This window comes from Homo sapiens, chromosome X, assembly GCF_000001405.40.
Source record: "Homo sapiens chromosome X, GRCh38.p14 Primary Assembly".
Classification (NCBI taxonomy): Eukaryota; Metazoa; Chordata; class Mammalia; order Primates; family Hominidae; genus Homo; species Homo sapiens.
The window spans coordinates 119,413,409-119,430,898 of NC_000023.11; the positions used below are offsets into that span (position 1 = coordinate 119,413,409).

At 45.6% G+C, this 17,490-nt stretch overlaps 1 protein-coding gene and 1 pseudogene across 11 annotated transcripts in view; both read left to right on the forward strand.

The window, feature by feature from the left end:
• SLC25A43 (solute carrier family 25 member 43) overlaps positions 1-17,490 on the forward strand; it is a 55,143-nt gene that overhangs the window by 14,073 nt on the left and 23,580 nt on the right. For 2 of the 11 annotated variants that reach the window (XR_938546.2, XR_938545.2), the window contains exon 4: positions 12,774-12,946. The exons of 2 other annotated variants lie outside the window; for them this stretch is intronic. Coding sequence is in view for 4 of the 9 variants with exons in the window: in XM_017029340.2 (XP_016884829.1) it covers positions 4,140-4,226 (87 nt within the window). In the remaining 5 variants the exon portion in view is untranslated. Of the gene's footprint in view, positions 1-4,133; positions 5,086-5,286; positions 5,298-5,850; positions 5,937-12,773; positions 12,947-17,490 lie in introns of those variants that run through there. 7 more of the 11 variants (XR_001755662.2, XR_001755664.2, XM_047441902.1 and 4 more) reach the window with 7 other exon arrangements.
• Positions 10,334-10,497, forward strand: RNU1-67P (RNA, U1 small nuclear 67, pseudogene; annotated as a pseudogene).

Genomic DNA, 17,490 nt, shown 5'->3' on the forward strand with positions numbered 1-17,490 from the left:
AAATTAGTATCCTTAGGCCGGGCGCGGTGGCTCACGGCTGTAATCCCAGCACTTTGGGGGGCCGAGGCGGGTGGATCACCTGAGGTCAGGAGTTTGAGACCAGCCCGGCCAACATGGCGAAACCCCGTCTCTACTAAAAAATACAAAAATTAGCTGGTCATGGTGGCACATGCCTGTAATCCCAGCTACTTGGGAGGCTGAGGTAAGAGAATCCCCTGAACCTGGGAGATGGAGGTTGCGGTGAGCCGAGATTGCACCACTGCACTCCAGCCTGGGCGACAGAGCGAGACTCCATCTCAAAAAAAAAAAAAAAAAATTAGTATCCTTTTTTCACTTATTATATAATGGGTATTTCCCTGGGCCATTAAGTATTTAATTATCAAATAATATTCCACCATATGGATGTGCCAAAAATATGTAACAATTTCTCCTTTTTTTAATATTTAGGCTTTTTCTAATTCTTGAGTTATACTAACATTGTAATGAAAACCTTTGCATTTTTTCATATCTGTGATGATATCCTTAGGCTATATTCCTAGAAATTGACTTATAGGTCACAAAATATGAACAATTCTAAGACTCTTCATGAAATGTGCACTCCAGAAAGGTTGTAAGTTTGTAATTCCACCAGCACTAAAGCAGTGGCTCAGCTTCTAAACTCTCAATATTCATTGATATTAATTATCAATATTAATTGTCACTTTTTAAATCATTATGAACCTAATAGCTGAAAAATAGTATCCCATCATTTTAATTTTAATTTGATTGATTATAAGCAAGGTTGCACTGGCCCTTTGTATTTCTTTGTAAGTTTTGTATTTATGTCCTTGCCCTATTTTTCTAGAATATTCAACTTTTTCTATTCATTGGTAAGAAGTCTTTATATATTAAAGATATTAACCCTTTGTCATACATTTCATATATTTTTCCCAGTTTGACATTTGGCTTCTAATGCTGTTTATGTGTTGGTGGTGGTGGTGGGTTTTTGTTTTGTTTTGTTTTTTTAGACAGGGTCTCGCTATGTCGCCCAGGCTGGAGTGCAGTAGCAGTTCAAGCATTTCTCCTGCCTCAGCCTCCCAAGTAGCTGGGATTACAGGCACCTGCCACCATGCCTGGCTAATTTTTGTATTTTTGATAGAGACACGGTTTCAGCATGTTGGCCGGGCTGGAGTGGTGATGTTTTGTTGTACATATTTTTAGAATTTTATCTAATTATATCTATTAGTATTATCTTCTGTTTCTGACTTTGCTTTTGTGCTTAAAAGGCCTATTCTATCCCATGATCCTATGACTATTCACTTATATGTTATTTAAATACTTTTTTAGTTGTGATTTTTACACTTGGCTTCTTTTTTTTTTGAGACAGGGTCTCACTACTGCCCAGGCTGGAGTGCAGTGGTGCGATCTCAGCTCACTGTAGCCTCGACTTCCCAGGCTCAGGTGATTCTCTCACCTCAGCCTCCTGAGTAGCTGGGACTACAGGCATGCACCACCACACCCAGCTAATTTTTTTTTTTTTTTTTTTTTTTTGAGACGGAGTCAGGCTCTGTTGCCAGGCTGAAGTGCAGTTGCACCATCTCGGCTCACTGCAACCTCCATCTCCCTGGTTCAAGCAATTCTCTTGCCTCAGCCTCCTGAGTAGCTGGGACTACAGGCACGTGCCACCACACCCAGCTAAATTTTTTTTTGTATTTTTAGCAGAGACGGGGTTTCACCAAGTTGGCCAGGATGGTCTCAATCTCTTGACCTCGTGATCCGCCTGCCTTGGCCTCCCAAAGTGCTGGGATTACAGGGGTGAGCCGCCGTGCCTGGCCATCATACCCAGCTAATTTTTGTATTTTTTGTAGAGACAGAGACTTGCCATGTTGCCCAGGCTGGTATCAAACTCCTGGACTCAAGCAATCCTACCCATCTCAAACTCCCAAAGTGCTGGGATTACAGGCATGAGCCACTGTGCCCAGCCTTACACTTAACATTTTAATACATTTAGAATTTACCTGGTGTGGCAGGGTGCAGTGGCTTGTACCTGTAATCCCAGCACTTTGGGAGGCCAAGGTGGGCGGATCACCTGAGGTCAGGAGTTCGAGACCAGCCGGGCCAACGTGGTGAAACCCTGTCTCTACTAAAAATGCAAAAATTAGCCGGGTGTGGTGGTGCGTGCCTGTAGTCCCAGCTACTCAGGAGGCTGAGGCAAGAGAATCACTTGAACTCAGGAGATGGAGGTTGCAGTGAGCTGAGATCATCCCATTGCACTCCAGCCTGGGCAACAGAGCAAGACTCAGTCTCAAAAAAAAAAAAAAATTTACCTGGTGCACAGGTGCCGTGACTCCTGCCTGTAATCCCAGCACTTTGGGAGTTTGAGATAGGTAGGATCACTTGAGGCTAGGAGTTCGAGACCAGCTGGCCAACATGGTGAGACCCGTCTCCATAAAAAATACAAAAATTAACTGGGCACACCTGTAACTGGTGCACACCTGTAGTCCCAGCTACTTGGGAGACTGAGGAGGGAGGATCACTTGAGCCCTGGAGGTAGAGGCTGCGGTGAGCCGTATTTGTGCCACCACACTCCAGCCTGGGTGACAGAGCAAGACCCTATCTCAAAAAAAAAAAAAAAAAAAAGAATTTTCCTGGTGCATGATATGAAACAGTCATCTAAGTTTTTTTTTTAATAGTTTACCAATTGTTTAAGCACCATTTTTTGAATAATTCTTTTCTCCACTACTTTGTGCTGCAGCTTTCACCACATACTAAATGTTTATATCTATTCTAGGGTCTCTATCTTAATGACCATAACTTTAGAAAAATGCCTTTTTTTTTTTTAATTTTTTTGAAATGGAGTCTCGCTCTGTCGCCCATGCTGGAGTGCAGTGGCGTGATCTCAGCTCACTGTAACCTCCGCCTCCCAGGTTAAAGCGATTCTCCTGCCTCAGCCTCCCGAGTAGCTAGGACTGCAGGCATGTGCCACCACGCCCGGCTAAGTTTTTGTATTTTTAGTAGAGACAAGGTTTCACCATGTTAGCCAGGCTGGTCTCGAACTCCTGGCCTCATGATCTGCCCGCTTTGGCCTCCCAAAGTGCTGGGATTACAGGCGTGAGCCACCGTCCCCGGCCAAAAAACACCTTTTAATGTCTAGTGGAATATAGCCCTCCTCATTGTTTTTCTTTTCAACATTTCCTTGATTATTTTCGGGCATTTGTTCTTCCTGATAACTTTAGAATTACCTTGTGATTATGATTGGAATTATGTAAAACCCATACACTTGGAGTAATTTATGTAAAATATTTCATCTTTTATTCAGAGACACAGTATGTCTCTCCTTTACTTTCAATCTTCTTTCTTTAGCTTGAACCAGATGAAATTACCAATATTCAACTTTGTTGACATCATTCAAACAGCAATTTCATCTGGTTCAAACCTTAGAAAAGTTGTTTTCTTCAAAGGGAAATTATGCTCTCTCTAAACAAACAAAAAAATAGTTTCTCTTAAAAAATCTGGGGAGAAGTAGGGTAGGAAAGAAGTATGATATACTGTAAGTGTTTTATTCATTTTTTAAAAATCCTGGTCCTAAGAATTTCTCACTGCCAGGGGCATCTCTCCAGCACTTTCAGCCACTTCATGCCTAGTTCAAGGCTTCGCCAGCTTAGCTTCCTCCCCATAGTGGGCCAGTCCAAAACAACCAGGGCCTTGAGCCTCAAGGGGTAGGGCTAGTCCGTGAAAAAGGGTTTCAGGCCAGGTGCGGTGGCTCACATCTGTAATCCCAGCACTTTGGGAAGCCGAGGCGGGTGGATCACCTGAGGTCAGGAGTTCAAGACCAACCTGACCAACATGATGAAACCCCATCTCTACTGAAAATACAAAAAAAAAAAAATTACCCAGGTGTGTTGGCACGTGCCTGTAGTCCCAGCTACTCAGGAGGCTGAGAGAGGAGAATCACTTAAACCTGGGAGGCGGAGGTTGCAGTGAGCTGAGATTGTGCCACCACACTCCAGCCTGGGTGACAGAGCGAGACTCTGTCTCAAAAAAAAGAGAAAAGAAAAGAAAAAGGTTTCAGATGAAGTTCAATGACATCTAAATGGGACGGGTAAGGGTCCCAGTCTTCCCCATAAACCTTAGTTTTGCTTTCTCTTCCTGAGAGCTAGAACAGTGACCTCATCTGGGAGAATCCAGCCAACACCGCATTCTACACCATCTGCATTCTATACCCCTACCACAACAACCCACTATAAACTGGGGTAAGATACACTAGAAGTGGGTATTTGGGGGTAATCCTGATCATCTTTTTCCTCGTATGGGAGCCTTCCAAATAATGCATATATAGAGCATAAGAAGAAGTTTCAAATAGATGCAAAGTCATGATGGTTGTAAAAAAAAAAAAAAAATCCAAAGAGGTAATTGCACTGTTTTCACAAAATAGGATCAACATGTAATTATGAATAACAATATAAATGTCATCCAAAGATATAGGAAGTGAACTTTTAGGGTTTCAGTGAAAGTGTTATTTTGCAGGGGTTAATAAACATACTAATACTTTGTCCACCCTATGTTAAAAAAAAAATTCACCCCCAAGACAGAACTGCAGGCTGCTTTTAAATGCAAACATGGCATTGGGCTTCTCTGGCCATTAGATGTCACTGCAGTAAATGGAGAGTAGCTGAGCATCACCTGATTGGAGCCTGAAGTTCGGTGATCTCTGTCCAGTTAACAACTTCATAATCCCTGCTTGAAATCCATCTTTGGTTTGGAGAATAAGAGGCCTAGAAACCACAGGCTAATGCTAAACTTGTTGGTTTTGTTGTTACTGTTACTTGTCCTACAAAGCACACACTCCAAATTCACCAAGAAGAGAGGGCTTTAATAACAGTCTGTCCTCGCTGGAGCAGGCAGGGTTTGCCAGCAGAATAAGTAACGAGGGACCTTTGCAGGGCCACTGGGCTGCTCTGACCTGAGCACACTTAATGGCAACATTTGCATTCCATTGGCTTTCCCCATTGCACTGCCTGTCATGAAGCAAATCAATGGCAGGTGTCTGTTGGATAACGAGCTACACAGGGAATTTTTCTCGATCCCTGCACTGACTGGCCCCTTTGTCTGGATGTTTCTTTCTCTTAATATGCTTTTCTCTAGACACACACAGCCCATTTAATGGCACATCAGGTTGGAACTCTTTTGAACATAATGACAGTAATCAGAAGTCTTGTTTAACCAGCTGAGCCCTTCCTTCACCATGCTTACACTCATTTTATCCCTTTTTCCTTTTCTTGCCTTGGCTCCTGGCTGGCATGCTAGAGAATGGAGAGGTAAATAAATTATGCATGTGCATGTCTTGATAGAATGGCTTCTGGTGGGAAGGGGGGTGGGTCAGGCCTGTGCACACATGGAATGAGGTGCCCCCAACTTGGTGTGCTTTCACGGACCCCAACCACCCTGCCTGAAATCCCCTTCTCCACGCTTCAGTGCATCTTAGCTCAAGCCCTTCCAGGTATAGCCTGGCCTTTTTGTCTATCTCCCACACCTAGCCCAGGGCCTGGGCCAGAAGAGATGGCAGAACTTAGTGTATTGAGAGAACAAGTAGGAAGGGTAAAATATTGACAGAGATGAATTCATCTGATTAATCTGTGCACCCCGAATAAGAACCAGGGAGTCCTGAGAAAATGGCTCTCTGCACAGGTGCATGTGAAGAAGAGAGGGAGATAGGCTGGGGAATACTGCCCTGAAAATCCAGGGAGCAGCTGAGAATGTAGGAGCCTTGGAATCTGGCAGGCCTTCTGAAAGGATCAGGAGGGAGGTACCAGACACATGCTCGGTCCCCCCACAACTCTGCCTGACACCCTCCCCTATTGCCCATATTAGGTGTCTCCATTTCATCAAATATAAAACCAAGTGTGAGCCTGTTGCTTTATACCCCAGTGGACTTTGACCCCATCACAGCTCACAAGGTAAGCAGGATTGGGCCAGGTCAGCATTTGAACTGAAAGCACATAAGATGAAGGACAAAGGTGGTATCCGAGTGGTACAGCTGACTGAGCAGAATATACATGGTCAGTGAATAAACAGAGGCCCCAGCCTACTCAAATAGAGATGCTCGACACCTCGGGTTACCTTTGTTGAATTGGACACAGTCACTTCATTCATTCCCTCTCAGGGTGCTCATCCCCTCTTGTAGTTTTTCATGTTCATATCTACATCTTCAATCCTGACCTCCCTTCTGAGCCATGGTCCCACATTTCCCACAGCCTGCTCGACATCACTATTTGGCTATCATATCCCCACTGTCACCTCTAACTTAATGTGCATCAAGCTGACCTCTTCTTTTCCTAACACTGTTATTCCAGAGTTTTCCATTTCAATTCCATCATTGCCCCAGTGACTCAGGCTGGAAATCCACAACTTGTGTTTGACTCTTCCCCTTCCCCTCACCCGGTTAACCTTGAGCCCTGTTGCTTCTTCATTCCTAACATTCCCATGCTGGTCTTTCTTTTTGTCACTGCCTCTTGCCCTAATCTTGGACCTTATCAGCTCATACCTAGGCTATTACAGTAATCTCCTCATTGGTCTCCAGGATTAATTCTAAAAATGATCTTAAGCATTGAATATTAATATGTACTAGGCACTGTGCTAAGTGCTTTATGTTCATTATCTCATTTAATCCTTACAACAGCCCTACAAGGTGGGCACTGTTATTATTAAGTCCATTTTACAGATGAGAAAACTGAGGCACCGAAAGGTTTTGTAGCCTGCAAGTTCACCCATCCAGTAATTGAGCTGGGATATAAGCCCAGGGAGCTTGTCTCCAGAGTCAGTGCTCATTTCAATCCTCTCCAGCCCAGCCCATATGGGATTCTGTCAGATGAATCTTTCTCAGATCTGTCTGCGTTAGATCCTTTTTTTTTTTTTTTTTTCTTTTTGTGAGACAGGGTCTTGCTCTCTCTCCCAGGCTGGAGTGCAGTGGCACAATCACAGCTCATTGTAGCCTCAACCTCCCGGGCCCAAGCAATCCTTCCACCTCAGCCTCCCAAGTAGCTGGGACCACAGGCATGCGCCACCTATGCCTGACTAATATTTTAAATGTTTTGTAGAGATGAGGTCTCCTGGTCTCCTTATGTTGCCTAGGCTGGTCTCAAACTCCTGGGCTCAAGCCATCCTCCCGCTTTGACCTCCCAAAGTGGTGGGATTACAGGCATGAGCCACTGTACTCAGCCTGTTGTTGTGTCCTTCTTGATGGTCCCCAGAGAAAAAAGGCTGAGCCCCTTGGCTTGGCATGTTTCCCTTACCAACTGTGCGATCCTTGTTGCACAGAGGCCCTTTATATAAGAAGTTACAAAAACAAATGCCTGCAGAAACTTGGAAGTAACATGAAAAAGAGAATGTAGGGAAACCCAGATAACATACACTCACCCTGTAAAGAATAAGCCTTCAGGCTGGGCCTGGTGGCCCACGTCTGTAATCCCACCACTTTGGGAAGCCAAGGTGGGTGGATCACTTGAGGTCAGGAGTTCAAGACCAGCCTGGTCAACATAATGAAACCCCGTCTCTACTAAAACACACACAAAAAAATTAGCTGGGCATCATGGCAGGTGCCTGTAGTCCCAGCTACTCAGGAGGCTGAGGCGGGAGGATCGCTTGAACCTAGGAGGTGGAGGTTGCAGTGAGTTGAGATTGTGCCACTGCACTCCAGCCTCGGTGACAGAGCGAAACTTCATCTCAAAAAAAAAAAAAAAAAAAAAAAAAAAAAGCCTTCAAATGCATTCCGAGCCATCATGGCTTTCAAAAGCATTCTGGAGAGCTAAACTTCACTGTGCTCACAAAATGTGATTTGCATCTAAATATGGATGACAGAAAGGAAGAAAGAGAGCCAGTAGAGGCTGTGGCCAGTTCCTCCTCTCCAAAGGACGGATGCCATTTAGAAATGTAGGCCCAGTTTTCAAAGGAGTCTAAAATCCAGATTTTTATGTAAAATCTCCCAGTTTTTCACTGCTGGCAAATGAAAATTGTTAAGTACTGGCTGGGCTAAACAAAACACACATTCGTATGACCTCTGCTCTATTCAAGCCTCCAAGTTCATCAAACTAATCTTCTTAGCCCCTTCTCCCAAGCCCTGAAGACTAAGTGCATTTCACATTCCAGTCACCAGGCCTTTGTTCATGAGGTTACCTCTGTCTTGGAACATCTGCCCAATTTTCTTAAAGGCTCAACTGAGGTTTGTCTCAGTGATGGCTGTCTTTTCTGACCTACTGTAGCACATACCTGTTGTTTAAGAAATGAGTTGGCTTTTCCCATCCCCAAAACAGCTGTCCTATCTTGATGGATCAAGGTAGATGTTTTGCCTTTGTAGAACCACAATGGAGGTGCTCCAGCCCACTTCAGAGGGGATTCTGGGGCAAGAGAAGCTGAGTTAACTAACAATCTACTCAGTTAATAACTGCAGATGCCGTATTTTCACTGTCCCCCACCCAACCCCCAAGGGCATAGTTATTTTGTTCTAAGAGCTTTGTGGGTGAATACCACCCACCCCCTTTTTATTTTTGAGACAAGAGTCTCGCTCTGTCACCCAGGCTGGAGTGCAGTGGTGCAATCTCGGCTCACTGCAACCTCCGCCTCCTGGGTTCAAGTGATTCTCCTGCCTCAGCCTCCCGAGTAGCTGGGACTACAGGCATGCACTACCACACCCAGCTAATTTTGTATTTTTAGTAGAGATGGGGTTTCACCATGTTGCCCAGGCTGGTCTCGAACTCCTGACCTCTGGTGATCCACCCGCCTCAGCCTCCCAAACTGCTGGGATTACAGGCATGAGCCACCGTGCCCGGCCAAATAACCCCTTTTAAATGATGCTGTTAGCCTATACGTGCCCTCTGATCCAGCCAGTTTCTTTTCCATGGCATTTCTGTCCATGCCCTACCTCTTCCCATCTTAACACTATTGCCCTGCTGTTCCCTCACTATCAAAGCCGCCTCCTGAAGTCTTCTCCCATCTCCCCAAGCAGTAGTCTCCCGCTCCTGAATGGCTCACTCTTGCTAGAGCTGTCTTATGGCCCATGCCACATGCTTCCTTTTGTTATAATCTTTTGTGTCCCTTATTTCCTCTAGATTGCAAACTCTTTGCCTGTGGGAAGTATGTCTTACACATTTGTATATCCTCACAACACACAGCCTCATGTAGCAGACATCTAATACTTGTTTAAAAATGAAGTTTAGGGACAGCTTAGGAGATCTCGCTGTCTGCTAGGTGAGTCCCAAGTCCGTGTGGTTGTACCTACCCAAGATGAAGGTAAGAACACCCAAGCCTGCCTCCTGCTCAACCTGCTGCCCTAAGAAAACCTCTGCATGTCCCCTGTCTAAAACTGTCTATGCACTTCGCTCTGAGAATGCACTGTCTTCCATCTCCTACCCTAGCAATCAGGTTCTATGCATCTCAGTGCAAACAGCCGTTAACGTTTCAGGATAGACAAATATGCTAAAAGGACAAAAGGAAAAATTCTTGACACCATTTTGATTTACACCTCCTCTTCATTCCAGCCTCCTGGCGCTTTGTATGGTGGCTGGAAGTGCTTGACAAATCATAGCACCATCAAATTTATACAGTCGTCCCTAGGTGTCTGCAGGCCATTGGTTGCAGAATCCCTCTCTGATACCAAAATCCACTCATTTCTCAGCCCTGAAGTCGGCCCTGTGAAACCTGTGGACACAAAAAGTTGGCCCTCCTTATACACAAGTCCCGCATCCCAAATTTGATTGTGGATGCAGAACCCACAGAAACAGAGGGCCGACTGTATTTATTGAAAAAAATCCACATATAAGTGAACCAGCACAACTCAAATCCATGTTGTTCAAAGGTCAACTGTAGGCCGGGCGCAGTGGCCCACGCCTGTAATCACCACACTTTGGGAGGCTGAGGCAGGCCGATCAACGGAGGTCAGGAGTTTGAGACCAGCCTGGCCAACATGGTGAAACCCCGCCTCTACTAAAAATACAAAATTATCCTGGCATGGTGGCACACGCCTGTAATCCCAGCTACTCAGGAGGCTGAGACAAGAGAATAGCTTGAACCCAGGAGGTGGAGGTTGCAGTGAGCTGAGATTGCACCACTGCACTCCAGACTGGGCAACAGAGCAAGACTCTGTCTCAAAAAAAAAAAAAAGAAAAGAAAGAAAAGGAAAAAAAAGAAAAACAAAAGTTGGTTGCTTTCTGTAAATGTGACCAGATTTGAATGAATGCATGTAAATCTATGCTGTACTTTGCTGGGGAGGTTTTTGTCAGGGATAAGGATGGGGGCAAACTATGTTAAGGGAAGTGATGACAAGAAAGCCTTCCCTGCGATTAAGAAATTATAATAATATATGCTTAACTGGCAGGGGAGATACCATGATCACAAAGGTGGTTTTCCCAGGGCGAGGCTTATCCATTGCCCTCTGGATGTGCTGACCCCTGCGATTTCCCCAAATGTGGGAAACTCGACTGCACAATTTGTGGTAGTGGGGGACTGTGTTCGCGCTTTCCCTTGAGAAAAAAAAAAAAGAAAGAAATTATAGGCCGGGCACGGTGGCTCACGCCTGTAATCCTAGCACTTTCGGAGGCCGAGGCAGGCGGATCACGAGGTCAAGTGATCGAGACCATCCTGGCTAACACGGTGAAACCCCGTCTCTACTAAAACACAAAAAATTAGCCGGGCGTGGTGGTGGGCGCCTGTGGTCCCAGCTACTTGGGAGGCTGAGGCAGGAGAATGCCGCGAACCTGGGAGGCAGAGTTTGCAGTGAGCGGAGATCGCACTACTGCACTCCAGCCTGGGCGACAGAGCAAGACTCCGTCTCAAAAAAAAAAAAAAAGAAAGAAATTATAATAATATAATAATAACTACCACTTATTGGTCACTTAATGTATACAAGGCAGTTTATTATCCCATTTAACTGTCTTTATTGACCCTATGAAATAAGTACTCTTAGTACTCCTATTTTATAGATGAGGAAACAAGGCACAAGGTGTAAGTCACTTACCCAACCATCACATAGCTAGTAAGTAAGTGGCGAAGCTGGGACTTGAACCTATGTCTCTCCTTCCTCAGGCCCTTTTTTTATTCACCAAGAGTACAGGAGCCTAATCCTGTAGGCAAGGGAACTGGATCATTTTGACTTTAGTTCCCTTGCCCCAGGTGTGGGACTAGAGGATGAGGGAGCGGGAAAGCAAACCTTGATATTGGGAGTCCACAGCCTCAGTGCAAGAGTTGAGAAAATCAATACTTTGCAAGCTCAGAAACTGAGAGGCCATAGCCTTGTCTTAATCCGTTCAGGCTGCAATAACAAAATATCATAAACTAGATGGCTTATAAACAACCAAAATGTATTTCTCACCGTTCTGGAGACTGAGAAGTCCAAGGTCAAGGCAGATTTGATACCTGGCGAAGGCCAGCTTCCTAGAGCCTTCTTGCTTTGCCCTCACATGGTGGAAGGGGGAGCTAGCTTTCTTCCATCTCTTTTAAAAGGACCCGAATCCCATTCATGAGAGCTTTGCCTTCATGGCCTAATCACCTCCCAAAGGCCCTGCCTCCTAAAACCATCACCCTAGGAGTCAGGATTTCAACAGATGAATTTTGGGAGGACACAAACACTCAGAGCATAACGAGCCTGGCTTTGGCCAGGGAATGGTTAACTCAAGTTAGAGAGAGGAAAAAAAAAAAATCTTTGGAAAACTGGGCTGTCCTGGGGTCTGCTTTAGTCCCTGGCAGTCTGGCAATGGAAAGCCCTACTTGTTGCTTTGACTTGAGAAGCCGTAATGAGCAGTGAGCCACAGGCATAGACCATTCAGTAGACACAGGTCTTTGGCCAGCCTTGAACGACAACTGCTCAGAGGGACTGGGAAGAAAGCCCGCCTACCACAGGGGGCAGGGCTGGGAGCAGAAGCAAAGCCCCAGGATGGGAGAGTAAATTGTTATAACTATCCCTGCGAGGAGGTGCTAACAAAGTTCCAGGTTTTCTGCCTACTTCAATATTTCCCGGTTGGCATAGCATCTACTCTTAGTAGGAACAGAGTTCTATTTGCCTAACAGAGTCAAATTACCTGTCCAGAGGTACAAACACTGCTAGGTTCTAAGCCTTCAGGGTAGTGGAGAGGAGTGGAGCCTTACCTTTAGTTTGTTGTATTTTCAACTCTCTGCTGTCATCTTACTTTTAGGTCTGGCCCCTTTGTGAACCAAATTCTTCTAACTGAGTAGCATTGCGTTAGCAGTCAGAAAAAAAAAAAAAAAAGATGCTTTTCAAATATAGGTAGATGTCTGGACATCCCTTAGGCAAGGTGGCTCTGTATGAGCGTCACTATTAAAGTGAAAGGAAAGGAAAAGTCTCCCCACCCTTGTTTTTTTTTCAAAAGGTATAGAGTGCCCGAAATACTTTAGGGATGGCAGCTGTTGAGCATGGAAACAAGACTTGTCCCTAGAGGGAAGGCAAGGAAGGCATGGGGAAGAGCCTTCCTAACTCCACTTAGTGTAAAATCACTCTGTCCTCTTCCCCTGACCTGAGCTGGCTTATTCCTTGGAAGAGATAAAGATCTGGGAGTCAAAATGACCACCCTGTGCTGAGCAGGCTTCTTTGAACTCCAGCTAAACGGTAACAGCACCTAAGATAGGATGTTCCCACCCTCACTCCCCACCTCAAAGTGGAGGTGAAGAGGGAGATAAGGGAAAGGGAGAGAAAGGTCCCAGGAAAGGTCTGCTGTCAAGAGGGAGGACCCGCAGCTGGCTGGGAGCATTCACAGGAAGTACCAATTTTCACCTCCTTTTTTCCACAGAGCTGTTGCTTATTTGCCTACGACGGCTGTGTTCCTCTTGAGGCTGTAATGGGCAGACTAGCTCAGTGGGTAACAGTGTGAGCTTTGGATCCCAGCCTTGCCACTTACTCCCGCGTGAACTTGTGTACACCACATAACCCATCTGAGCCTCATCTTCCTCATCTGTTTTGAGGGTAAGAATGGTGCCTACCTCATCTACTTGCAGCAAAGACTAAATTCGTTTAGTGCAAATGCAGAGCCAGGCCCATAATAAGTACTGTCAATAATGCTAAGATGCCATGTTTATTGTTCTTGAAGCATCACTTCAGAATCTGTGCACAGCATGGAAGGCCTGATTAGAACCATAAAAACCAGTCCAAGGCCGGGCGCGGCGACTCACGCCTGTAATCCCAGCACTTTGGGAGGCCGAGGTGGGTGGATCACTTGAGGCCAGGAGTTCCAGACCAGCCTGGCCAACACGACGAAACCCCGTCTCTAATAAAAATTAAAAAATTAGCTGGGCATGGTGGCGCGCGCCCGTAGTCCCAGCTACTCAATAGGCTGAGGCATGATAATCACTTGAACCAAGGAGGCAGAGGTTACAGTGAGCCGAGATTGCACCACTCCAGCCTGGGCGACAGAGTGAAACTCTATTTAAAAAAAAAAAAAAGCCAGTCCAGATGTGTTTCCATGTTTCCTATGATTACTATAAACACACAAATGAGCTGGGCTCACAGAACCTCAATAGACCTTGGATATGTATAGCTAATGATGAGCAGCGACAGGAATCGAGAGTTCGTACAGAATTTTTTGGTTTGGTTAGCGTAACAACAGGCTTTACAGACAGGCTCCATGTGCAAGCACTGCACACCTCTGTATGTTCTCAGCCTTCTGAGAACTGTCACTGCCAAATCTTTTCCTTCACCCTCCCCACCCTATCTCACCCCCAGGCAAGGTGACACTTTCAAAGTTGGCACGGCAGGCAGCACATGCCAGGCCTGTGACCCAGGCCTCAGCAGCTCTGCTCACTTGCATGGCAATTGCTTTCTACAGTCAGGCCCAGCTGCACTTTGGGTCTCCCCAACCCCCACCCCCAATCACCACACAGGAACTGGCTGTTTCTCTTTTCTTCGTCCAAGCTGAATACTAACCTACTGTGGTTTGCTTGCTTCCCCCATTGTGATCGCAGGCTTTCTGAGCAGCTAGTCAACCCTCTAGCCTGCCACTGAATCGGAAGGCATTCACACTGGAGGGGATCAAGGGGAGCTTGTAGGCTTGCCTTGCTGGCGGGCAGCTGCCTACACCCACTCGTACCAATGTCCCCGCTGCAGAGCCCGGGTGCTTCCCAGCTGTACAAGGACAACTATTTGGGTCCCGGCTATGCCAAGAGAAACATGGGTCATGTGGTTCACAGGACAGAAAGGTTCATTTACTCCAATATGACTGGCATTTTTTTTTGTTTGATTATTGGATATTTGCCAAAAGACTGAAGCCTCCTGCCACAACCACCTCCCCCACATATATGTCCTCAGATGGTTTGGGAATTGGACAGCTTAGTCATCAGGTCCTGTCCTCCACATCCACAGAAGATACAAGTTGTTTCCAGATAACATGCAGAAGGTTCTGAGCTCCTTCCTGTGTGCTCCAGCTCGAAGACTCTTTTCTTTTCCCTATGAATTTTTTTTCCTTTTCTTTCTCTGGTCTTTCCTTTTTAATGCCCTTTTAAAATTAAGTATTCTATCTTTTGAGTGGGTAACACATACACATGATACAAAATCCAAAAGGTGCAACGAGTATATGCTGAAAAGTAAACCTCTCTAACCTTTGTCCTTAGCCATTCAGCTCTCCTGTGAGTCAGTACTGTTGTTAGCAGTTTACCTGTATCTTTCCAAAGATGGTCTATGCAAAGATCCACATAAACTTGTACATTTATGTTCTGTTTTTAGGTCAGCAGCAGCACACTACATACACTCTTCTGTGCCCTGTTTTTTTTCCACCTGAAAATGTATCTCGGCTGGGCACGGTGGCTCACGCCTGCAATCCCAGCACTTTGGGAGGCCGAGGCAGGTGGATCACTTGAGGTCAGGAGTTCAAGACCAGTCTGGCCAACATGGTGAAACCCTGTCTCTACTAAAAATATGAAAATTAGCTGAGCGTGGTGGTGGGCACCTGTAATTCTAGCTACTCAGGAGGCTGAGGCGGAGGAATCACTTGAACCTGGGAGGCAGAGGTTGCAGTGAGCCGAGATCACACCATTGCACTCCAGCCTGGGTGATAAGAGTGAAACTGTCTCAAAAAAAAAAATGTATCTTGGAAATGATACCACATCAATCCAGATAAAGCTGCCACATATTTTTCATTTATGACATAGTATTCAACGGTATGATATACTATTTATTTAACTAGTCCCTGATTGGTGGACATTTAGATTATTTCCAGTCTTCTGCTAGTACTAACAATGCTGTAACAAATCTCCTTGTTACATACATTTTTCACGCACATGCAAATAGATCTGTAGGATAAAAAGGGGTCCCCAACCCCTGGTCCGTGGCCTGTTAGGAACCTGGCTGGGCCACACAGCGTGAAGTGAGTGGCCAGCGAGTGAGCATTATGGCCTGAGCCCCGCCTCCTGTCAGATCAGCGGCGGCATTAGATTCTCATAGCAGTGCAAACCCTATTGTGAGCTGTGCGTGCAAGGGACCTGGGTTGCACACTCCTTATGAGAATCTAATGCCTGATGATCTGAGATGGAACAGTTTCATCCCAAAACCATTCCCCCCAACCCCTTGTCCGTGGAAAAATGGTCCTCGGCAAAACCAGTCCCTGGTGCCAAAAAGGTTAGGGACTGCTGGGCTAAATTCCTAGAATTTTTGCTTTGGTCAAAGGGCATATGTGTCTTACATCTTTTTTTTTTTTTTTTGAGATGGAGTCGCCAGGCTGAAGTGCAGTGGCGCAATTTCAGCTCACTGCAACCTCCACCTCCTAGGTTCAAGCGATTCTCCTGCCTCACCCTCCCGAGTAGCTGGGAGTACAGGCACACGCCACCATGCCCAGCTAATTTTTGTATTTTCAGTAGAGACAGGGTTTCACCATGTTGGCCAGGATGGTCTCCATCTCCTGACCTCATGATCCGCCTGCCTCGGCCTCCCAAAGTGCTGGGATTACAGGCGTGAGCTGCCGTGCCCAGCTGTGTTTTACATCTTTATAAATATTGTTCAGTTATTTCAGTACTCATGGAAAGACTGAACAACCAAAACGTTGCCTCTGTTGGAAGACCTCTGAGGAATTTATCACAGGAATAATCAAGTGCTTTGCTTTTAAGTCTTTGTTCTTTATTTGTATCTACTGCAAGTTTGTTATTTCTTTCCTTCAATATGTATTAAACACCTCGACCTCTACCATGCACCAGGTAAGCTTTGAGGCCAAAACCATAAACACAACAAATGTGGTTGCTGCCCCCACAGTATTTACAGTCTAGGAGATGGAGCAGTTGGGGGCAGGAGTACACATGAACGAAATAATTATACACTGAGTCATTACAAACTGTGTTAAGTGCCATGAAGGAGAAGCACAGGGTGACTGAAAGTGTTCAGTAGGCTCCTGACTTCGTGTGGAGGTCTCAGAAGATTTCCCTGGGGAAATGATGTTTATTCTGATCAATAAGACAGACTTAGTGAGGCCGAGGAAATGGCAGGTTTGAAGTCCTAGAGGAAGGCAGGAGCAAGGATTCTGGCCAGCAGCATGGATTACAGGATCTGGAAAGGGTCTTCAAGGACATTTTGTTTCAGTCTCCTCATTTGACATGTGAGAAAACTAAAGTTTAGGGAGCTAAATGACTTGACCAGGGTTATACAGATAGTAACAAAGTCAGGCTGCAGAATCCAGTGTGCTCATCCTGGGAGCTGTGGGTCTGAACTAGACAGCTATGGGATAGTTGCCTGGGTTTGTGTAGAAGGACTTAAGTTCAGGTTCTTGTGACAAGCTGCGTGACATGTTTCATTTCTCTTTACTAGTAAGATACAGTTTGGATGAATGGCCATTCCAATCTAGCGGGTTGGTTTGTTCTTCAGCATACTTGTCTTTCTTACAAGTTTAAATAATAATAACAATGGTGGTTAATTCTTTAGCGCTTGCTCTATGTCAAATACAGTTCTAAGCAACTTACATGTATTAAATCATTTCATTTTGACAGCAGTTCTTAAAGTTGGTGTTATTATTATTACCCCATTTTACAGATGAGGAAATTGAAGCTCCAGAAGGTAAAGGCACTTGCCAACCATCACAGAGCTAGTGAGTGGCAAAGCAGGGGGACCGAGTCCAAACAGTCTGGCTTCAGGGCCCATGTGCTTTGTCTCCCAGGCACTCTCAGTGTCAGCAGCAGGCTGATGGACTCAGGTTTGAGCCCAGAGCTGCCTTGTGCCATGGAAGGTCCAATCAGTGGCTCTCAACCCTGGCTGCACATCAGAATCAGCTGGGGAGCTTGTAAAAAGTGCTAATGTCCAGGCCTCGCCCCCGTTCAGTTAAATTGCAATCTCTAGGGGTGGATCCCAGTCACTGAGGGTTTTTAAAAGCTTCCGTGGTCAGCCTAATGCAGCTAACGGTTGAGATGTACTGGGATCTAGGCTTGCCATTGCTTTGCCCTTTGGGAGCAACCAGCACCCCATACTTGCCTTTGTGTTCTGGACACCCACTTAGTAGGACACTTGTAGAGGCACTTATTCATACCACAGCACAGGCT